Source organism: Homo sapiens, chromosome 17 (genome assembly GCF_000001405.40).
Source record: "Homo sapiens chromosome 17, GRCh38.p14 Primary Assembly".
Lineage (NCBI taxonomy): Eukaryota > Metazoa > Chordata > Mammalia > Primates > Hominidae > Homo > Homo sapiens.
This window is the reverse complement of record NC_000017.11, coordinates 61,463,550-61,485,651: the sequence shown is the minus strand read 5'-3', so window position 1 is coordinate 61,485,651 and position 22,102 is coordinate 61,463,550. Positions and strand designations below refer to the sequence as shown.

The following is a 22,102-nucleotide window of genomic DNA, read 5'->3' as shown; positions in this document are numbered from 1 at the left end:
TTTCCTCTCTCCATCTTGTGGCCAAGCTTTAGGGACCTGGCAAAGGTGCAGGCGAATGGGGACTTTGCCAGGCCTTGACTCACCCATTCTGGGGTGATGGTGGTGATGAGCTCATGCCCCTGACTGCTCCAGGAAGCCCCCCGCACTGACTCAAACCTGCTCTTCAGTTCCTTTTCTGAAGCAGCTGCATAAATCCCACCAGGAATTCCCTACTTACGAGACCACTTCCCCCAAATGGCCAGCTTATGTGTTGACTGCTGAAAGGAGACAGATTCCTGCTTTACTGCCTGCCCGCCCTTCTGGGGTCTTTGTGGACCCTGGAGTCCAGATTCATAACCCAGGGAGTAGCATGAGATCAAAGGTGCAATTGCTCTGTGGTCCTAGGTGACTTCACTGTGAGCTCAGAGGCTCCACGGTACACATGTTCAGAGGTACTGAGGGCCTTACCTGACACTTGAGAAAAAGAATACCAGCAAAAAAGAGGCAGAGGCCGTTGCAGAGCCAAGAAATGACAAGTCAGTAATAAAGAGCATCCACACACTTCACAGTTGTAAAATGGCTTTATGTTCCGATATGCAAAATAAAACATCCATGCTATATAACAAAACACTTGAAGTTCCATATCACCTGTTAGCTAATGTGTTTTCTAAAAAAGCCTTATCTGTAGTGTGTGTGTGTTTATATATATATATATATATATATATATTTATTTATATGTTTTATCTAAACCATTCTTAGTTTTTAATATCAAACATGTAATAAAAATTTAAATAGATGTCTTTCCAAATACCCCCTCCAACGTTTATTTTTATTAAGTTCATTCATTTGTAGAAAGCAAAGCTGAATTTGACATGTGGCCTGCATTTGTGAGAGAGAGCGATATATAATATATATATTTATTTATTTATATAATATATAAATAGCTATTCAGCATGCAAAGAGTTTAGTGATTTCCCAAGTTTGATGGAGAGTTCACCCCAGCCACACTGATGGCCTGGTGGTATTCAATGCTAAAACGCAGGGCTGAGGACTTTGTGAGCGCCACACTGGAGAATTCTCTTTGCTCCTCTGAGCTCACCGGCTGAATTTACTGGAAGAAACAAATTTTTTTCAACTATCTTTATTTCTGTTGGCCTTTCTCGCTCCAGAAGCGTAGATTTTCTGAGAGCAGAACAGGCCCTGGAGATGCCAGACATCAGCTCCAGTGTGGCCTCCTGGGGATGATGCCAGCTGAGGCGTGTTTCATAATTGCCCATCATCATAGGATGCAGATGGTATGGTGCCTGGGAGGCTGACTCTCCACACACCAGAGTGAGAGACTGTATGTTGGGGACCTAGGGGGAAGGGCTCTGTACTTTATTACAAAATCTGAATGATGACAGAGATGCTACTGGTTGCATTTTCCCTCCTCTTGAAGGGAAAAAAAAACCCTTTAAAAATACCCCTCAGGTGACATTTAGCCCATGACCCTTTCCGAACGTCATCCCTCAGACCTCAGAGCTCCAGTCATCAATGTCTAGGCCACTCACTGAGCAGCCAGCTGTACTATCAAAGTACACATTGTGGCTTAGCTGAGCCCACCTCTCAGGCAGTCTCACAGACTCTCCAGAAGTCAAAGGAGTGGGCCTCCTGCTACCAAAACCAGATTCTCAGCTCCCCTTGCAAAGAGAAGGCCAGGAACTCTAAGGTGTGCACAGAGTCCTCACACCCCAGCAGCGAGAATCTTCCCACCCCAGCAGTGAGAATCTTTCCCCATGGGAGAGAACTCCCCACCTGGCCCCTGAGTAAATCAACCATTATAAAACCCTCTCAATAACTCATATGAACCCTCCACTCCCATCCCACCCACGGGCATGTCAAGAGATGTCAGATAACAATAGACCCAGGTCCTGCAGCCAAAATCACTTCTTAGATAAATGTGGTGTTTTTTTTCCTTGTCATGACCTCAGTTGTATGTCAGAAGATGGATGCTCTCCAAATACATACATGCTCGTGTATACACACACACACACACACACACACACACACACACACACACTGGAATACCTTCCTGTGTTTCTTGGTAGAGTGCAGGCCACCCACAGAGGTTAATACTGGAGCAACACGGTCCCGGGGCTATGGAGGAGACGTGAGAGTCATCCGTCAGTCCAGTTCTCCACAGTCCCCATTCCTGAATGGTACTGTAAGGAAGATTCTCGGGACAAGGAGAAGGTTTGAGAGTAGAGAAACTCATTGGCAGCATTTAGATGTGGCGAGGGTGGCTTCCTCTCACACCCTTGGGGGAGGCCGCGCTCTCTTGGGAATGAGGCGCTGGGCCCCCGCTCTCGGACCTGAGACTGGGAGAGCTGATTGTAGACACTAAAGTGGGCATTTCCTGGTGGCTGGGAGCTCTGAGCGGAGAGGGTGGGCAGCCGCGGCATCATGGTGGTGGCGGTGAAGTGCGTGGGGAAGGGCTGGTACGGCACAGTCTCCATCGTCTGCACGCTATAGCTGGTGTACGGCGACACTGAAGTCCACATGTTACAGCTCAGCGGAGGTGGGGGCAGGTCGTCCACCCCAGACACCCCGGCAATCTCGGGCCCTGAACCTGAGTACATACATGCTTCTCTGGGGGTCACCTCACTGCAGTAGGAGGGGCTCAGCATTTGCTGGTCGTAGGGAGGGGGGGAACGGAAATAGTGATCCTCCCCCACCGAAGAGGGGGCTTCCAGATAGGATCGCTTGCAAGGTAAGTCCAGGTGGCGGGTACCGTCTGCTGAAAGACAAAGTAACATTCAGGAAGAACCATTTCCACCAGCCCAGGCCCCAGAGCACCCTGTTGGATGCTGGGACAGCCTGTCCTTGTCCCTCTGCGCCCGCCCTCCCCATGTTGCCATGGCACTCCCAGAGCCATTTCAATCAGCCACGGCTTTTATAGGGTTGCAGGCACCAAGAAGTGGTCAGATTACGGACCCTACTCAGAGGCCACGGGGGACACCACATCACCGGACACTGAGGGCCAGGCTTAGCCAGGCAGCACTCGGCTTTGATCCTTCGCCAGCCTGACTCTTGCAGAGTGAGAGGCCCTGATGTGCAGTGGCATTCTCAGGCTAGGCCCTCCCTGGCCAAGGAAAGTAGAGGCACTTGCCAGGCCAGCCCATGCCCAGAGGCCACATCTGTCTGAAGTAGCCAGAAAATTAAGGCCATGAGGTTTCTGCCTCCATCCTCAGCTCCCAGGAAGACCTCAGGGAGCCAAAGCCACTTGTAGGCATGTTTCTGTTGCTTTTAGAAGATGAACTAACCTCACATGTGTTTAAAGAAGAACCATCAGATTTTTACTACACAGATTCCAACACCACAGTGTCTACCAAATTAAGAAATAGAACTGATAATAAGTGAAAAAGGTGACATACTTTTCAGGCTAAGCAGATACTCTGGGGAAAGATGACATCAGATGCCACAAATCATGTATGTGTGCCTTTCGACATCCTCCACAAGGAGGGCCTAAGTATCTGGAGTGGCATGACCTCCCCTGGGATCCAGGGCTGACCCAGGCCTGAGGGTTTGGGGAGCAGCCCACTGAGCCAATTTAAGAACACTCATCCGGGCTGGGTGCAGTGGCTCACACCTGTAATCCCAGCACTTTGGGAGGCCAACGTGGGCGGATCACTTGAGGTCAGGAGTTCGAGACCAGCTTGATCAACATGGTGAAACCCCATCTCTACTAAAAATACAAATATTAGCTGGGCATGGTGGCATACACCTGTAATCTCAGCTACTGGGGAGGCTGAGGCAGGAGAATCACTTGAATTCGGGAGGCAGAGGTTGCAGTGAGCCCAGATTGCACCATTGCACTCCAGCCTGGGAGACAGAGAGAGACTCCGTCTCAAAACAAGGACAACAACAACAACAAAAACCCCACACATCCATGGCTCATCTTGGCCTCCCTCCTCCTGTTTTCTCCAGGGATTCATTCGGGGAGCTCTGTGTGTGCACCCACGGGGCTGGAAGCAGAGGGGCTAAATGGGTGTGAAGGCCTCTGCTCACCTCTCTCCTCTGCCCCTGCTGGTGGCATCTGCCCTGCCCAGGGAGACCTGCTCCTCTCCCTTGCCCAGCTCTCTCCTTTGCCCCTCACTCAGCCCGATTCTCCGTCTTCTCTCCAAATCCCTCTCTTCTCCCTGAGCTAAGCTCTTGATCCTGGCAGGTGGCCTACTCACTCTAGGTCAAGACTGGGCAAACTTTTTCTGCAAAGGACCAGATAGTAAATATCTTAGGCTTTGTGGGCCGCAGGGTATCTGTTGCAACTACGAAACTCTGCCGTTGTACCATGAAAGCAGCCGTAGACAACCTGTAAGTAAATGGGTATGGCTGTGTTCCAATAAAACTTTATGGACACTAAAACTTTAATTTCACATAATGCTCACATCTCATGAAATATTCTTTTGATTTTTTTCAATTGTTTTGAAATGTAAAAACTATTTTGTACAGGTAGCAGGCTGGGTTAGGTCCGAAGGCCACAGTTTGCCAACCCGTGCTCTAGGTCATTGAGTTCTAATGAGACTTGTACAGGGGATCTCGGAGCTCTGCTGGGCTAGTCCCTAGGACCAGGGCTGAGGGAACATTCCGGAAGGCAAGCAAAAGTCCCCAGGCTCATTCCGAAGGGAATTTCAGCAGCCCCATGAGGTCTTCTGGTGGAGTAACACGAATCATTGCAATTCTATCCATGGAGGAATCAAGACCTGGCACAGAGCACAGATGTGATGGTGCCCAGCTCCGGGCTCCTCCTCTTTACGAAGAGGCCTGGCACAGAGGGTGCTGTGGCTTGTCTTCCCAGCCCCCACCTACATCCACAATAGCTCATCTCAACTCTCAAGCAGCCTCTGCAGATCCTGGAAGGAATGATTGGGTGGAAGGCCCTGCACGTGAGACACCAAGTCCTCCCTGTTCTGGAATTGAGGTTGCTTTGACAAACAACAGCCCCAATCCCAAAACCTCTGGACTGGGAAGTGTCAGCCTCTTCCTGCACTTCCAGGCAGAGCCCAGCTCACCCCACGAGGCTCTCAGAGCAGTGACTGCAAAGCAACACTTGGAAAGGTGTCTGGGGACACCGGGGCTACAAGCTGTCTGTGAGGGTTCCAAAGGCAGCATGAGAGATGAGAACCAGCATCCCTGCACTGGAAAAGATGGCCCTGCGCCCAGCTGTGATCCCTAACCCTTCAGGCCCACTCTCCCAGGCCACACAAGCACGAGATGAGTGTGTGTGTGTTGGGGGGGGGGGCGCTGCAGAGTGGTTTCGGGGAGAACCTCACCGCTCCTCTTACCCTCTAGGGCTTCTAGACCAGGAGAGCCCTACCTCGTCTTTTCAGGCAGTGATAGAAGAGGCTTGAGTCCCTCTGGGTGGGAAAGGTGCTGAGGGGCAGGTCCTGCGGCTCCGCGAGCTGTGAGTGTGCCCCGTTCTCGTGCTGGTAGTGCTGGAGTGCCTGGTGGGTGCCGAGCAGGGGGCCCACGTCCGGTGTGGCTGAGAGCTGGGGGGAGATGAGCCTCTGCCTCATGATGCTTTTGGAAATCACGGGGTATTCTTTGCTGAAGGGGTGGGGAGGACAGGAGGAGAGACAGGAAGAGAGTGAAGATACATCGAGGGTCACAGAGGCCACGTGCCTGAATCCCATCTGCCCGCCCCACCCCCAGGCTACGCAGCCCCACCTCTGCAGTCGGGCCACACGCAGGTCACTGTCATCACTGCCCCGGAATCCCTTGGCAAAAGGGTTGTTCTCAATTTTCAGCTGGGTGATCTGTGGGGAGAAAACACATAGGGTCACCAGTGTGAGGCACACAAATGTGTCTCAGTTTCCACATTTGTAAATGGGATCATAACATGTAACCTCCCTCCCTCAGGGGTCGCTCTCCAGCCTCACCGCTTCTCACTACCCTCCTTGGGGAGGAGGGTGGGACTGGACTGGCCTCTGGCCTTCCCTCCTCCCCAACCCCAGGCACAGGCAGAACTGGGGCAGGTCTGGGGAAGTGGGCCTTGCCATTCACACCTGGTTTGTCCCTGGCTCCCTACTCCTTGCTCTCCACCCTCTGATTCTTTCTCCTGCTCCCCAGCCCTCCGCACTGCCGGGCTTCTGTCCCCATGGGTCTCTCCTGGGGACCTGTAACATCTTCCCAGTGAGCATCCCGGGCCTGCTGCCTGAGTCTGTGCAACTACATCAGGCTCTGAGTGACCGTTCTAGATGCAGTTCCGACTCTGTCACTCTTCTGCCTAAAATCCACCACAGCCACGGCCCTTCCCCAGTGACCCCTGCCCACCTTGCCAGTCCCTGTGTGCATACTGTGGAAAGCAGACGGGCGGCAGAGCACGGCTGTCAGTGACTGGGATGCAGTGGGGGTGGCCGGGCTGGGGAGGGCAGTAGTGAGTGTGGGAGGTGGCTGGGGCACCTCCTATCACAGCCTGGGAAGGGCCTCCGCTCAGGCTCTGCTTCCACACCCCAGCTGACAGCACCCCAGGGCTCCTATCCCCATTCCCTACCCCTGTCTCTGAAGGCACCAGGAGATGAACCAGGAGAAAGAACATTGTGGAATGAAAGGGCCCAATGCTCAAACCACAAGGCAGACTCCAAGCTCCTGGTTTTTACAGTTGCCAATTTTCTCCATTCCCCAAAACACAGAGACCGTAATTCCTCTGTGCTGGAGATGGACATATCTAGGGTCCTTTTCTGTTCATCATTCGATTTGCTCGCGGCTCCGAGGGACTCTAGGCTTCTGAGGTCCCTGCACTGGGCCTGCCCAAGCCCTGCTGGGACTCTGGCTTCACACTCTGCCTCTCTGCCTGGTGGAAGAGAACGCAGGGTGGTGTTAAGTGGGGCTGTGGGGCAGTGGGGCAGTGGCTGTACCTTGTGATTCTGGTAGGAGGTCACAGAGATGAAGGAGGTCTCTGGGAACACGTGGGTGCAGAAAGCAGTGTTTTTGGAGCCGAAAGCATTGTTCTCATCAGCCTTAACGATGTGGAGCCGCGGCTGGTACTTGTGCATAGAGTTGAGGATGATCTGGAAGAGAAGGGTCTCATGCTGAGCTCCAGGTCCCCATCCGCAAGCCCCAGGCCCTTGACCTCATTCTTCTGGCCCTGGCCTGGTTTTTCTCATTCTCCTCAAAGCCCAGGATCCGGGGCCTACCGACCAGGACTGGAGCTCCCAAGTGAAGAACCAGGCCCCTGGGCCCCAAACTCTCCCCACCCCAGCCCTACTTAGCCTCTCTGCACCAGCACTAATGCCCAGCTCCAGGCCCTCCTTGATGTGACCAGTTGATTCACTGTGGTAATGGAGAACTTGAGTCAGCCCTTAACACTGTCAAAGCCCACTGTGAACTCAGCACAGTGTAGCAGGTGGAATTGTGAGCTGTCAGCAAAAGTCCAGGGTGCCACCGAGTCACTGTTTGATCTCAGACAAGTCACTGGGCTTCTCTGTGCCTCAGTTTCCACATTTGTAAATGGGATCATAACATGTAACCTCCCTCCCTCAGGGGTCCCCCTCCAGCCTCACCTCTTCTCAATACCCTTCTTACACATGACCTGCCTCTTCTAGAAATACTTGGGTTTTGCAGGATGAGAGAGAGGGAAAAAGCTGAGGAAAATGTCCCACTGTAACTTTTTTTGTCACATTGCTCATTTGTTCATGCATTTCTTTTCTTTCCTTTCTTTCTTTCTTTTTCTTTTTCTTTTTTTTTTTTTTTTTTGAGATGGAATCTCACTCTTGTTGCCCAGGCTGGACTGCAGTGCCGCAATCTTGGCTCACTGCAACCTCTACTTCCTGGGTTCAAGCGATTCTCGTACCTCAGCCTCCCAAGTAGCTGAAATTACAGGTGTGCTCCATCATTCCCAGCTAATTTTTATATTTTTAGAAGAGACAGGGTTTCACCATGTTGGTCAGGCTGGTCTCGAACTCCTGACCTCCAGTGATCCGCCCACCTTGGCCTCCCAAAGTGCTGGGATTACAGGCGTGAGCCTCCGCACCTAGCCTTGTTTATGCATTTCTCAACGTTCACAGAGGCCTGCTGACGGTGTGCTGGGGAGACCCAAATGTATCCTGCCTTCAGACCTGCCTAAGGCCGCTCCCAGCCCTCAGAGAAGCTCTTCAAGCGTTCAAGGTGCCAAGGTAGGAGACGGCACAGTTTCCAAAATAGTGCCATAGAAGGCAAGAGGCCCCCGATCCCAAGGGCCCTTGAGGATGCCGTGGGCTGGGGGAGGCGGGTTGCCGCGGCTGGACAAAGCTTAGCAAAGCGCCCTGGAGGCGCGGCTGCCAGAGCCCCCGGGGGCCGCTCACAGTAGTTGCTGCTCCAAACCTGCTTCATTTGGCTGCGCCCCACGGTAGCAGCTGCATCATGTGCCATTAAAATGTATTTTTTATCGTTGACATTTGCCAGACGCCCTCCCCATTGAAGGCAGGACCAGGAATTTGGGGCATTTTATCAGCCCTGCGGCTTCTGTTAACCCTTCGGTTTCTGTCCTGGCCAGGCCAGGCGGGCCCTCGGGTCCCCTTCCCCTCTGAGCTCCCCTCTCCGTAGCTGGCAGTGCCCTTTCCTTGGGTTGGTCGTTGGGCTGCCACCCTTCTAGGTTCCCAGGGATGGGACCTGGTACTGACGCTGAATGAAAGGTTTAACCTGTTAGTGACCAGAGTGCCAAGAGAAAGGCCAGAGTCAGGCTCTTTTATGGCAAACCTTGGCCAAAGTCTTAGTCTGGGAAGACTCTGCTCTTATCGTGCCCTGGGGCACAGGGATAGCCTAGAGAGCCAGCTCAGCTGAGGAATGGGTGGGCCAGGACCTGGGCTGTGGGTACTGGCCTTCCCTGGGCTCCTCGGTTGAGCTGGGTGACTCCATCCAGCAGGAACCACACTTTCTGCCTTCTGCACTGGCCACTCCCGCCTCAGCCCTCAGTGACAAACCTCCAGACCTTCACGAGGCAAGTACATAACTCCCAAACCCCAAACCAGGTCCTGCAGCTGGGGACCTGCTGCCCGACTGGGGGCCTGCCAGGTGAGGAATGCAGAGTGAGGCTACAGGACACAGGTCCCGCTCAGAGAGGCCTCGATGTCTGTCCCTTTCCAGGACGCTGGGGATGCTCCTGTGGCGAGAGGAACTGGGCCTGGAAAACACCTCCCAGCCCCTTTAGGTGACTCCATCACCGTGCACTATTCACAGAGCTGCAGGCATCCACAAAGGACCCACGTTCCCGGAAGATCCAGCAATGGAATACCTGGGAGGTGGCCCGATAGCTCCAGGAATGCCCAGTTCCTACCTGTGCACCTTTGCACATGCAGGTCCCTCTGCTGTCTCGATCTTCCTTTCCCATTCTTTTCTCACCTTCTGGGCCTAACATCTCTTCTAGGAAGACCCAGATCTTCCAGGAAGTCTCAGGTACAAGGGCCTGCTCTGAACGCCCAGTTCTGAAACTTACTTCTCATGTGTTATCTACCTGGTTGTCATTCTGCATCCTAGTGGCTTCCTATTTCTTCTTGTCCCTTCAATTAAACTCTAAACTCCTCAGGAGAAAGGGCTATACCTTTTATCCTTTTGTACCTCCAGGCTCCTTTGCCCCCAGACAGGATCTAGTGAGTGCAAGGTCGGGTTTGAGAGTGGGAAGATCTGGGCCACGACCACAAACCCTCCGTGGGAACGTGGGCAAGTCCCCTCCTCTCTGGTCTTTGCTTGCTCACTAAAGACGAGATCATCTCTAAGGCATTTCCTAGGTCAAAAGTGGTGATGAAACATGTGCAGAGATGATCTCCCATGAGTTCCCCGATGTGCCAGCTCCTTGGCATGAAGGCCTCCCCCAGTCACTCTAGCTCTCCAAAGGTGGCAGCGCAAAGGGAGAACAAAGACCGTGGGCTGAGAGAACCCAGGACAGAGCCATAGGCACCAGCACCTCATGAAGGCTGTGCAGGACACTAGGACACATGGCAGCAGCCACCCTGCTCCTGTGACACCTGGGCAGTCACAAGCAGTCGTGGGCTCGTCAAAGCCCTGGGTATCATCATCAACTCCCCTCCTCCTCACTGTCATCCACCTCCAGGTCCACTCAGTGACCGATTCCTGTGACTCTATCTATAAAACAAAAGCCCCTCCATTCCTTTTGCACACCCCTGCTTCAGGCCCCACCATCTTTGGCTGGGCTGCTAGGACAGCCTCCCCCTACCTCCATCTACTTTCTCTCCATTTCCTCCTGAAACACATCCCATCAGTTCACTCCCCTGCTCAGAACCTTCTGGGAAATTCAGGAAGATGTGCATTGCTTAAGAGCAGGGCCTTTTGTATTTCCTCCTCTTTCCCCCACATCCCCTCCTACCACTGCTGCCAGTATATGGGGCTCAGTAAATGCCTTATGTACACAATCCACCTTTGATTGTTCCCTCTTGACCCTTGGAATAAAGGCCAAACTCCTTAGCCCGTCAGACAAAGTCCCTGATGACTAGGGTGGAGAGAGTGCCCAACACATCTTCCGAGGCAGGGAACCAGCCAGGCTCACAGGGAAACCTGCAAAGAGGGAAGCTGCCAGTCCTACAGGGGCAGGTGGGAGCCACTAGGTGAGGGTAACCCCGGTCATAGAGAAGTCAAGAAGGGTGCAGACGCCGTCATGATCTCTGTTCACCAGCGTCAAGTCCTGAGCAAGCTCTTCTCCTTCTCCAACCATTGGGGTCCCCATCTATGAAGTGGGGCCTTTGACTAAGTGGTCCCAAACACCCCTTCTGACTCCGACAGTCTAGAACCTGGACAGGTATCTGGAAGAAAGTCCCACCCATTGAGCCAAGACAAGTATAAACTTGAGCCTTAGTCCCATCAGCCGGGAGAATGTGAAACCAACTCAGTGACTCACACACCTGGCTTTGCTCGGAAGTTCCTCAGGCGCCACATTAAACTACTTTGCCAGAGTTTCACATTTATATTTGCTGCAGAGGATATGGGGCCAAATGGGCCAGCCACGTCAACAACCCCACTACATGACTGGTTCCGTCATCATCGTTTCACAGAAATGGGATTCATTATGTTCTGGCCACAATTCAGAAGCCTGTTCTATTTTAACAACTGCAATTGCGCCAAACATCCCTCTCCTCAAGAGATCGCCATAGCGTGCTTGGCCAATAAAGCCCAGATCTATCTACATTGGAATCACAGAACATTAGGGCATGGAGAGGCAGGCCATTGAGATCATTCGTGTCCAGCTCTCTAATTTTACAGATGAGGAACAGAATGCTGGTAGTGGAGACGTGACTCGCCCAGGAACACACAGCTGGTTGGAGACACAGTCTGGAGCAGGATCCAGATGGCCTGTGAGAGAGCACACACTGCTCTCAACAAGCTCAGAGTTAATGAGAAGGTGCCAATTAAACACTGTAAGGGACTTGGGTCAGCAGGCCCTACAGAACACAGAACACATGTTATCTGGATGCTAGCCCCTCAAAAGTGTGGCTAATGTCCATTTTGTCAGATACTAAAACCAGATTTACCCTGCATCATAATTTTATTTTCTGTGACTACCTTCTCCATCATCCTTCTGATCCTCCCCAGCCCTACAAAGAGGTTAGGACAGTGACAGGATCTCAGCTTAAACACCAAAGAAGGAAAGAAAGAAAACTGAGACCCCGGATGATAAGAGGTGCATCCAAGGAAAATTCAAACTAGATCTAAGTCAGGGAGCCCATCAGCCCACTCAAGAGGCCTTGCCCAGGGAACCTTAGGCATCACTCCCATGCGAGCAACACTGGGGTGGTACCGTGGGGCCTCCAAACCTTCCTGCCTTCTGCCACAGCAACAGCAGTAACAGCTGGCACTTACTGAGCATAGCTTATGTGCCAGGCCCTGTGCTAAGCCATTTACATTCACCATAAAATTAATCTTTACAGTATCCGTATAAAGTAGGCATTAATTATTATTGCCCTTATTTTAACAGGCAAGGGACTGAGGGTCAGGGAGGTGCAGGCATTTGCCCAGCATCAGACAGCCGATTTCAGGCACAGCCAGAATTGGTACTAGTTTCCAAGCCTGAGTTCATACCTTAACCTGGCTGGGGAGGGTGGGACCTGATCTGGAGTTCAGGGCTTGCCACATTGTCAGGGATCAGCAAATGTGGGAGGAAAGGAGGAAAGAGGGAGATAAATAGCTCTGGGTCCCCACTGGCAGATTAGCAGCATAAGCTTTGGGGGGACATCTGCCCCTGGCAGGGGAAGTGGCTTTGCTGTCTGATTACCACCCCCTTCAGGAGTTTCTCATGCACTTACCATCCACCAGCACCCGCTGGCTTGCCAGACACGGTGGCTAGGCACTAGGATGTCACAGTGATTGGAAACCTCATGGTTTACTATCTGGTGGGGCAGTCACATAGTAACTCCGAAAATGAGCAGAAATAAGTGGTGAGAAAATGTAGTGAAAGAAAGGCTGCATTTATCATGGTAACAAATCAGGTGACACACCTAACAAGAAACGTGCAGGGCCATTTCAAGGAAACCTGAATACGTTTTGAAGAACCAGAAAACCCTCAGCAAATAGAAAAGCCTTCCTATCAGTCTTCTCTAAGTAAATTTATAATTTAAGGAAAATCCAATAAAAATACAAATAAGCTCCTTTTTTAACACTACAAGCTTATTCTAAAATTTATGTGAAAAAATAGACAAGACTAGCCAAGAAAACTCTGAAGAAGATCAAGGAGGCCCAGTCCTGCCAAACACTAAAACCTATTATCCAGTCTCAACAGTTAAAAGACTGGCGTGTGAACAGGCACACATTCATATAGGGATTTAGTGTTCAGAAATAAGGCACCTCAACCAGGGGAGGAAAGGGGACAACTCAATTAGTGATGCTGGGACAACTGGATAGCTCTGTAGAAAAAAAAAAAAAATTGGATTCACACCTCAAATCAATGCCAGGATAAATTTCAAAAGGATCAATGGTTTAAATGTAAAAATAAATCCATAAAATACTAAAAGAAAAGTCCCTTATAAGTAAGGAGGGGGGTTAGGGCTTTCAATAACTCAAAATCCAAAATCTATAAGGAAAAGACTGGTCAATTCAATCAAAAGCATCGGTGTGGGAATATCACTACAGGCAAAACCAAATGACAAATGATAACCTGGACATGTGTAACTCATCACAGATAAGAGCTACATCCTCCTAATTTATAAGAGTTCCTAGAAATTGATATCAAAAACCTACAAGAAAAATGAGCAAAGGATGAGAACAGCAGTTCGCAGGAGAGGAAATTTATTAAAAGAAGATGCTTAACCTTACTCATAATAAAGGAAATGCAAATTAAAGCTAACACTGATATCCACATTTCACCTGTCAAACTGACAAAAATCCACAAGTTTGCTCTCCCGCCCTTATTGGTAAGGCCACAGCAGTGGTGGAAATATATACATCAGTACAGCTCCCATGGAGGGGAATTTGGTGATATTTTCAAAGTTACAAATCCACGTACCCTTTGAACAGGCCATTTATCTCACAGATATACTTGGCACAGCATAAAATGGCATATGTACAAGCTTAATCAGAAGAGCAAAGAATAAAAAAACATCTAATTCCTTCAACAAGAACTGGCTACATGATTTCTGAAACAATCATTTTGATAAAATTCTATGCAGCTGCAGGCCGGGCGCGGTGGCACACGCCTGCAATCCCAGCACTTTGGGAGGCCGAGGCAGGTGGATCACCTGAGGTCAGAGTTTGAGACTAGTCTGATCAACATGGTGAAACCCTGTCTCTACTAAAAAAAAAAAAAAAAAAAAAAAAAAAAAAATTAGCTGGGCATAGTGGCAGGCACCTGTAATCCCAGCTATTCAGGAGGCTGAGGCAGGAGAATTGATTGAACCCGGGAGGTGGAGGCTGCAGTCAGCCAAGATCACACCATTGCACTCCAGCCTGGGCAACAAGAGCGAAACTCTATCTCAAAGAAATTAAAATAATAATAATTCTGTGCAGCTGCAAAAGGGATGAGGAAGCCCTCTCTGAATAGACTATTCTCCAAGAGATATTATTAAGTTTACAGAGCAAATGCAAAAAATGTTTCTATAGTATGCTACCTTTTGTGTGTAAAAGAGGGGATTCCAGATTACACATTCTGCCTATGTGCAAAAAAAAAAAAAAAATGCTGAAAAGAAATTGGTAGCCATGGTTGCCTGTACTGGGGGTTGAAAGAAACAGTGGATCAGGAACAAGTAGAGAGAGATGTCGTATTGTAGACATTTTAATTTGTTCAATGATTTATGTTTAAAGCTTGTGAAAGTATTTCCTATTCATAAATAAAATGTTAAGATGCAAATAGGTATAAAATTATAACCTTGGCAAGTACTAGCATGAAAAGGTGCATAGTGCTCTGACAGCATGGAATGAGGACCCCAACCTTTCTCTCTGAAGAAGGTGCATTTGAGCTTGGATCTCGCAGCTCAGGAGTAGCTACCTAGGTGAAGAAGGTGGGAAAATAGTCCCAGGCCTAAGGGTGTGGCAGTCAGGCCTATGCCAGTTATGAAGCCCAGTGGCTAGAAGGAAGTCGCATATTAAGGGGACTAATGCGTGCTACTTTGTGACTGAGGAACTGCAGCCCACACCTCTAGCCCAGGGGCTAATGCAGCCCCTCCAACAGTTGGACTCACTGCGTCAGAAATCATAAACTGGCCCTCCCTCCTCAGCAATCTGGGATACCTGCATGCCACCATTTCCTCATCGTGCTACAGGATACAGGTCCCGCCTATGCCCCAGTGAGGCCCTCCCTGACTTCCTGAAGCCCAGGTATTGCTAGAAGCTTATTCAGAAGAGGAGAAGAGGAAGAAAGCCGAGGGAAGCAGTTTCCTTTCCCATCTCATAGTCGCCGGGCACAGGACCCTGCTGGGCGTGGGAGGTAGTGGCAGGCAGGAGGGACAGTGGGCAGGCAGCTTCTGTGGCCAGCAGAACAGCAGAAGCAAAGCTGAATTCAGGCCACCTGGAGGCAGCTCATCCAGCCCCAGCCCCTTGGTCCTTTCTGCTCCCGCCTGGCCCAACCTCGGGACTGGAGCTGACGCCCAGGTCTGAATCTGCCCTCCTGAACCTGCCTTCCAAGGTTCAGACTGGAAAATTCCTTGTGGATTTCTGCTGTGAAGGCTTTCCTAATCCCACAGCAAAAACCCACAAGGAGTGTTGTTCTAGTGGGAGCTCAGTCCTTTTAGGAGGTTCTGGCCATGTGGTCTGAGAGGTTCCTGTTCCAGGGCCCCATGTGCCATACAGGACAGGCTACCAGGCCCAAGACTTCAATCTAAGGTCCTCAGACTTCAGAGAAGAGCAGCATTCATGGAAGAAAGGAATCTTGAATGATAGGAAAACCCGGATTATCCCAAAATAGTTGTTCCACACCCCCTCCCCGACAGTCAGGGCTTCCTGCTCTTTGAAGCCTTAAGGCACCAGCAAGCAGACACATGAGCCACCCTGCTCATCTCCTGGGATGAGGAAATGGGATGGCTTGGGCCCAGGGATCTCCAGGCTAGAAGGACACTGAGTCCACCTGTTGGACCCCAAGATGATACCACAGCCACTCTCATGAGCTCTCAACTTGCCCTTTCGCGAGGAGAGAGCCCACCCTTTTGGGCAGGAGTTGGGGGTGAGGGCTGCCAATAGGAGGCAGCTGCTCAAGCTCCTGGGATACCGTGAGGATCCCCAAGAAAAGTCCAAGCCCATGTGGCTGGAGAAAGTCCCTTGAGGCCTGGAAGCTTTCAGGGCAAGCTGAAAACGTAGAAGTGGTTGTGCAGAAGGAAGGGCAATTCCCAATACAACGTGGCTTTTCCCCAGCCTCTTGCACTGAGAAGCCAAGAAGGGTGACTCCTTCATCCTTCAATGGGAGCTCACCACTCCCACGGGCACGGGCCAAGAGGCAGAAGAAAATCAATGTCCAAATGGGTTGCTGTGCCCTGATATGTCTCTCCACAGCCCTTGTCTGAATGGCCAGAGGCTGCTCCCTCTTCAAGGGTTCTCTAAATAGGTGAAGATACCGCAGCGAGAGCCCTGGGTACAGAAAGGCAGTGGAGAAGCCCAGAGACACTGGACCTGGAAGCAGAAGGCCTGGGTCTGAGACGGTACCTGGGCCCTGCCACACCCACAGGGCTGTTGTAGCCAATAAACTGCAAGTACTGGGTAAGTGTGGGGATGAAGGGAGAAGGAAGATGCTCTGCGTCCCACTCATCCAGGGAAAAAGCTGAGTTCCTGTGGGTAGTATCCCTATCATCAAGGCAAGGGAAGCGCCAGGCAGGCACGGCAGATGCAGCCAGGGGCACCCCCAGCATCACAAGCCCATCAAGCAGCCTCACTGGCCCTGACTTCTATGCAGTTTATCACAAACCACTCACAGACCCAGGGAGAGCTACTGAAGAGGTTAGCCAGGCTGTGAAAAGCTACTGCTGGGCTGTGAAGGCCAGAGCGCTCTCTCCCACTTCCTAAAGAAGGCGCAGCTTTCCAGCCCTTAACTCCCTCTGCTCTCACTTTCTAGAGGTCAGGGAAGCAGAGGTGTCCTCTGAGACATCCCTGCAGCTGGCAGCCCTGACAACAAGCTGGCTCATCCAAAATCCTCTCCAGGTTTGGATCTCTAGGGACAAATGGCCACCCAAAGATGCAGCTCCCCACAAGCTCTGTATTCGCCCCCCATGGGGTCTGTGTGTGTGTGCCGTCGTGGGCCAGGTTCCCTAGCCTCCCCACACAGAGACCCTCCCTACCCTTTGAGGCTGGTGCCACAGCCTGGCCAAGCATAGGAAGTTGGGTAGGAGTTGACTGGGAACAAAGTCTTGACCAGGATGGTGCCCAGGGAGACCCAGGAAGCCCCTCTGCCTCTCAGCTGAAATGCCTTGGGGCTCGGGGAGGTGGGAACTTGGCTGATCCTCCCCATTGGGAATCTGCCTGCCCTGTATGGGAAACCCAGCAAAGGGACTCACAAACCAGATAAGATAAGTCAGGAGTTGACTGCATTAATTAAACATTCTCCTAGCTGCTTGTTTATAGCTCACCAATGACTCAGAAGCGAACTGAATAGATTCTGAGAAATTAAAACTAGAAGCTCAATGCCAGTTACATACCCATCAATCAGAAAAGAAGCATGGCTGGAGTTTTCCATAGGAACTATGCTTCAGAGCTGGGACGTAAAAGCGGGACATACCTGCACATCTCGTAACCCCAACAGCCACACCTGCATCTCAAAGCCTCCACTGCCCCTGCCCTGCACTTCCCCAGAAACCACGGGCAGTCTCGAGGGGAGGGGCCTGTGCCCTGGCAGATAGTACCAGGTCCCCAGACTTCTGTTTGCCACACACTTGAGCTAAAAATTTCCACATAAAAATCTCTTTTTTGTGGACTTTCCAGGGCCAGATGGGGAAAGAATGAGCTTGGGCTGCCTGGATGGGGCGTCAGCAGCATCCCTGGGGCTTCAGAATCTCTTCTGTAAGGACCAGGCCAAATCCAGCAGGAGCTAACATGTGAGCCAGAGCAAGGTCTTTTCTCCCAGAAGCAGGCGGCTGTCAGGCCAGGCAGACGGTACACACCAAAGAGGGGCTTTGGAACATATCCGTGACTCTCGCTCGAAAAGGCTTACCCCTCTTGTGTTATGTTCCAGCAAGGCAAGATTTTGGGGAACTGAAGCTGAGATCTGACCCGTCACCTTTATCATCATAGCTGCCATTTATTTAGCCCCTCCTACGTGCAAAGTGCTTCCGGTAAACCCTCTCATTTAAGTCTCACAGCCATGAAAGGTACATGTGGTCATCTCCATTTTCTAGACAAGGAAAGTGAGGCTCAAAAAGGCTGAGACGATTGTCCAGAGTTACCCAGCCAGTAAGTGGCCGGGAAGGAAGTCCAGCTCTCTGCAGGCCTCAGAGGCTTGAGCTCCTTCCCTAAACTGGTCAGTGAGCGCCAAAGCCTGGAGCTGGATCCCGGAGTGGATTCTCCCTATCCCCATCCTGGCCTGTCCCACCCCTAAAACTGCCCCAGACTTGCCTCCTGGGGCCAGGCAGCCCCCATGCTTACATGGCCAAAGGGGTCCAGGTGGTTGTTTGTCAGCTTCAGCTTCTGGAAGGAGACCAGCTGCCGCATCCAGTGGGCTCCTGTGGCAGGAGAATCCGGGTGGACATACAGCCTTCCTGGCATGGCTGGCTCAGCCTTCCCTGCCACCATCCTGCCAACAGAGCAGATAAGAGCAGGTGATTACTCCAGGGGCTGGTGAGGCCAGATTCCCCGTCCCCTCTTGGAGCAAACCCCCATTGACCAGAGGAAAAAATAGCTGCTGGTCCCACCACATTGTCAAATTAGTACTTCAAGGGTAGGAGTGTGAGGTTCAGAGGAGAGAATGCTGAGGAGGAGAGAGCAGTTCTGAATCTCCTTTATTTTACTGCAGTAGAAAAGAAAAGGGAGGTTACAGGGAAATGGGATCATTTAATTGAAGGACTGGGGCTAATCACAAAGATATTGTGAGGAGATTTAGGCACTTCTATGTATATTTACACTTATGATTTAAAATTTTTTTTTCTTTTTAAGAGACAGGTTCTCACTCTGTCACCCATGCTAGTGGTATGATCATAGCTCCCTGCAGCCTCCAATTCCTGGGCTCAAGCAATCCTTCTGCCTCAGCCTCCCAAGTAGCTGTGACTACAGGCATGCACCTCCATGCCCAGTTAACTTTTTACATTTTTTACAGAGACAAGGATCTTACTATATTACCCAGGCTGGTCTCAAACTCCTGACCTTCAAGTCATCCTCCTGCCTCTGCCTCCAGAGTAGCTGGGATTACAGATATGAGCCGCTACACCTGGTATGATTATGATTGTCACATGTTATAAATTATATTATTTAGAGGGAGCTTCTCAGAGGACCTAGACAACTCTCAAAAGGCTTGTCCCCAAAACAATGGTAAGAAATTAATTGGTAGCTCTCCCCGCAGCCAGAGCCTGCTCTGAGTTCTAGCCCAGAGAGGGAGAAGAAACAGAAACATGGCCCTTGCCAGGACGTGGCCACCAAATCCTGCCTGCTCGGCCCAATCTCTCCAGCTCTGTGGCTCACTTGCCACGGAGCCCAGTGTCCTGGCTGGCTGCTCGCTCCTGGAGCGCTGTTCCGAGCTCCCAGGCAGTCAGGGACTAAGGAGTTGGCTTCATGAAAGGTAGCCCAGCGTTTATTTACCTGGCCCCTTTTGGTTTTGTCCCTTTACCTCTCTATGTCTCCCAGCCCCTTGCCAAAGGGTCCCATCCACCAACCCCCTGGTGGAGCCTCACTTCGTCTGGATGGCTGGAGGGGCCTGAAGCCAAGGAGAACATGGAGAAACAGGCGAGTGCCCCCACACAGCAGGTAATGGCTTGCCCTTAAAGTCCCCAAGAGAACTGCTCCCATCTTCCCCACAGTGAAGCACTGACAGTCTAAATCTGGCCAGTGTTAATGATTTGTCTGTCACCTGACAGCATAGTTACCAAGTCCTGACTACCCACGGCCATAAGGAGAGTACAGACCCTTGCGATCCACCAAACTCCCAAACACGCAGCTGCTTTTCAGCCCAAACCCAGCCCCACCTGAAGCAGGCATGCAGACATTCGCTGACCACCTCAGCCTCCGCACAGCCAGTTCCAGGCAGTGGACTCCAGCCTGCAGACCTGGGCAGTCACTCAGGTAGCTAAGAAATCCCCCGGACAAAACACTAGGTGGGGGCGTGGCAAGTGGGCAGTTGAGGGAACGTGGGTGATGCGGTCAGGGTCCACTTACCATTTGTTGTCACAGAACTTGTAGCGATGGTCATCGGCAGGGACAATGTCAATCAGCAGGATATACTTGGTCTTGGGGTTCATGCCTGTGACTTTTACCTTGTAGCTGGGGAACATCCTCCTGGGGGAGCCGAGGGGTGAGGCGGAGCGTGTGGACAGAGCACCAGGAGAGATGGAACAGAGTGAGCAAGGGGGCAGAAGGCCGCTAACAGATGCTGCCCTTTTGGCCAGCGATCCTGGCATTGGTCACAGCTGTGTGACCTGCACAACTCACTTCCCCCTCTGCCCGAGCTGCACAGTGAAAAGGTGGCACTGGCTGCTGTCTCTGAGCCCCTGCAGCTATCAGTCTGTGTCTAGGAGGAGAGTTTACACCATTTCCCAAATTCACTTATCCCCTCCCCCATAATCCCCTAAGACTTGGGGCTAGTGCCCATGAGCAGCTGAAGCACAGAGACCCCAGTCAGGATTGTGGGAGCAGATTCTGACGCCAACCTTGCTGCCTTAATTTCCCTCCTGTCCTTTGCCAGCCCACACACAAGTGAAGTTCTGGGGTGCAGTTATAGGGGGACGGAAACCCCCGTCAGCTGCTTCCATAAATAATGAGCTGCCTCCTCTGGGTCATGCCTCTGTGGAAATCCTTAGGCCTAAAACCAGCTTGCAGGAAAACAGGAGACTGCTGTCCAAAACCCTGCTAGGTTTGGGTTCTTCCAGTGTGTCTATCGGGGGTACTTCTCCCTGTGAACACCTCACCTGGACCTGTGCACCCTGAGTATCAGGGGAAAGTCGGTCCAGGAGCCTCATGGATAAGAGAGGGCATGGATTCTGAAACCACCTGCCATGGTCACAGCCTGGACCCCACTGATAAGCCTTAGGCAACTTGCTTGAACCTCTCTGTGCCTTGGTTTCCTTATCTCTAAAATGAGGATAACATTACCACCTATCTCATAGATTGCTGCGTGAATTACCACGGACCCCTGCTGCACTCCTCCCTCAGCAAAGTAAATGGAGAAGTGGTATGACCTACTTCTGTGAAAATGGATTCACCAAAACCCAGAAAGTTTGTCATTTCCTGCAGCCCATGCTGAGGCTGTCAAGGGCCCTGAGGTTCGAGGCACATTCTAGAGGGGGCTTCCGCACACCCCTCAGCACATACGCACACACAACAGCACAGCGCATACACAAACGCTCTGGGCACAGCTCCCTCCCCTAGTCACTAGGTCCCTGACTTCACCAGAGGGAAGAACGGAACTTCCCACGATCCTCCTCAGACTCCATCCCCCACCCCAGCTGATCTTCCACAAAGGTGTTCCCCAAGAGAAACAGGATCCAAACCTAGCTGAAGACACAGTGAAGACACTAAGCCCCACTGAGCTGTGCCACTGCCCGGCTGGTCCACTCTGGGACAACCATCAGGTGGTTCTCTGCCTCTCACTAACCCAAGACAGTACGGGACCCTGGAGAAGCTGTCCAAGATGCCACAAACAGCTGATCAGAGGCCCCTATTTTGTCACCAGGGGCACCAGCTTACCTGGACAGAACAGGGCTTCCAGAAAGGATCAAGGCCTCTATAAGCTGGCGGGCCCTAAGCCCAGGCGAGGACCCCGACCGAGGTGGAGGGTTCACTTCCTTGCCAGCCCACGCCCCACCCAGCCCCGCCTGTGCCCCTCTCTTGCTGGAGGAGAGGCCTGTGCAAGCACTGCAGGGCGGGGACGTGGGGATGTGGGGTGTGTGTGCCCAGGCGCATGTGAGCGGTGTGCAAGTGCGCATGTGTGGATGTGTGCGTGCCTGGAGGGAGGAGGGAAGTTCTAGCTGCAAGTCTAGGGACTTATAAACCTTGTGGAAGAATTTGTCTCAGATGTCAATTGAAAGCATTTTCAAATACCCACCCCACCCCCTCTCCAGGAATGGGGGAAGTGAGGGGCTCAGGAACCCAACCCTGCCTCCTGCTTACCAGCCCCCCTATGGGGCCTGGGGGCGCAGCTGGATCTTGCACCACCCTTTCCCGGCCCTGCCTCTCTCCTGGTGGGCCAACAGCTGAAGCAGGGAGGGCAGCAGCTGCCTCACCTCCCCCTTCCCTGGGGTAAGGCCAAGAATCCCGCCCCCTGCAGGCCACCATTTTGTAACTGCCACAGAAACAGCCACAAAATGGGGCAGCCCTGGCCATACTTGGGCTGGCCTGGCACCGGGGGCCTGCACTCAGCTTGTTTCCTGTCATCATTCCAGGTGGCAACAGCAGAGGGCAGCCATGGCTTCCCTCCAGGGCCAGTGTCCACATAGGGGGCCAGGAGCGAAGGGCTCACTGCCACTTTGGCACGCGTCATAGCCTAGGCTGAGAGGAGGCTAAGGGGCCCTGGCCTTCCCCTCTCCTTCTCCCTGCTGGGCTTCATTTC

At 51.9% G+C, this 22,102-nt stretch overlaps 1 protein-coding gene across 5 annotated transcripts in view, besides 6 other annotated features; it reads right to left on the bottom strand.

Moving 5' to 3' along the window:
• TBX4 (T-box transcription factor 4) overlaps positions 542-22,102 on the bottom strand; it is a 32,689-nt gene continuing 11,128 nt past the window's right edge. For 2 of the 5 annotated variants that reach the window (NM_001321120.2, XM_011525490.3), the window contains exons 4-9: positions 19,714-19,833; positions 17,995-18,142; positions 6,873-7,025; positions 5,683-5,771; positions 5,333-5,562; positions 542-2,755 (exon numbers count right to left, since the gene is read on the bottom strand). In NM_001321120.2, coding sequence (NP_001308049.1) covers positions 2,136-2,755; positions 5,333-5,562; positions 5,683-5,771; positions 6,873-7,025; positions 17,995-18,142; positions 19,714-19,833 — 1,360 coding nt within the window. In that variant the 3' untranslated portion in view covers positions 542-2,135. Of the gene's footprint in view, positions 2,756-3,851; positions 4,328-5,332; positions 5,563-5,682; positions 5,772-6,872; positions 7,026-17,994; positions 18,143-19,713; positions 19,834-22,102 lie in introns of those variants that run through there. The other 3 variants (XM_011525491.3, NM_018488.3, XM_011525495.3) reach the window with 2 other exon arrangements.
• Positions 7,732-8,432: an enhancer, noted in NCBI's record as "H3K4me1 hESC enhancer chr17:59554581-59555281 (GRCh37/hg19 assembly coordinates)". NCBI's record gives its function as "activates a minimal SCP1, AML or CMV promoter by ChIP-STARR-seq in naive H9 embryonic stem cells {active_cell/tissue: H9 hESC(naive)}" and the evidence as "EXISTENCE:reporter gene assay evidence [ECO:0000049][PMID:30033119]".
• Positions 8,433-9,135: an enhancer, noted in NCBI's record as "H3K4me1 hESC enhancer chr17:59553878-59554580 (GRCh37/hg19 assembly coordinates)". NCBI's record gives its function as "activates a minimal SCP1, AML or CMV promoter by ChIP-STARR-seq in naive H9 embryonic stem cells {active_cell/tissue: H9 hESC(naive)}" and the evidence as "EXISTENCE:reporter gene assay evidence [ECO:0000049][PMID:30033119]".
• Positions 14,770-15,064: a silencer, noted in NCBI's record as "tiled region #11492; HepG2 Repressive DNase matched - State 12:CtcfO, and K562 Repressive non-DNase unmatched - State 20:ReprD". NCBI's record gives its function as "represses a minimal TATA promoter and a strong SV40 promoter by Sharpr-MPRA in HepG2 and K562 cells {active_cell/tissue: HepG2 | K562}" and the evidence as "EXISTENCE:reporter gene assay evidence [ECO:0000049][PMID:27701403]".
• Positions 14,770-15,400: a biological region, named in NCBI's record as "Sharpr-MPRA regulatory region 11492".
• Positions 14,899-15,400: an enhancer, noted in NCBI's record as "H3K4me1 hESC enhancer chr17:59547613-59548114 (GRCh37/hg19 assembly coordinates)". NCBI's record gives its function as "activates a minimal SCP1, AML or CMV promoter by ChIP-STARR-seq in naive H9 embryonic stem cells {active_cell/tissue: H9 hESC(naive)}" and the evidence as "EXISTENCE:reporter gene assay evidence [ECO:0000049][PMID:30033119]".
• Positions 21,210-21,871: an enhancer, noted in NCBI's record as "H3K4me1 hESC enhancer chr17:59541142-59541803 (GRCh37/hg19 assembly coordinates)". NCBI's record gives its function as "activates a minimal SCP1, AML or CMV promoter by ChIP-STARR-seq in naive H9 embryonic stem cells {active_cell/tissue: H9 hESC(naive)}" and the evidence as "EXISTENCE:reporter gene assay evidence [ECO:0000049][PMID:30033119]".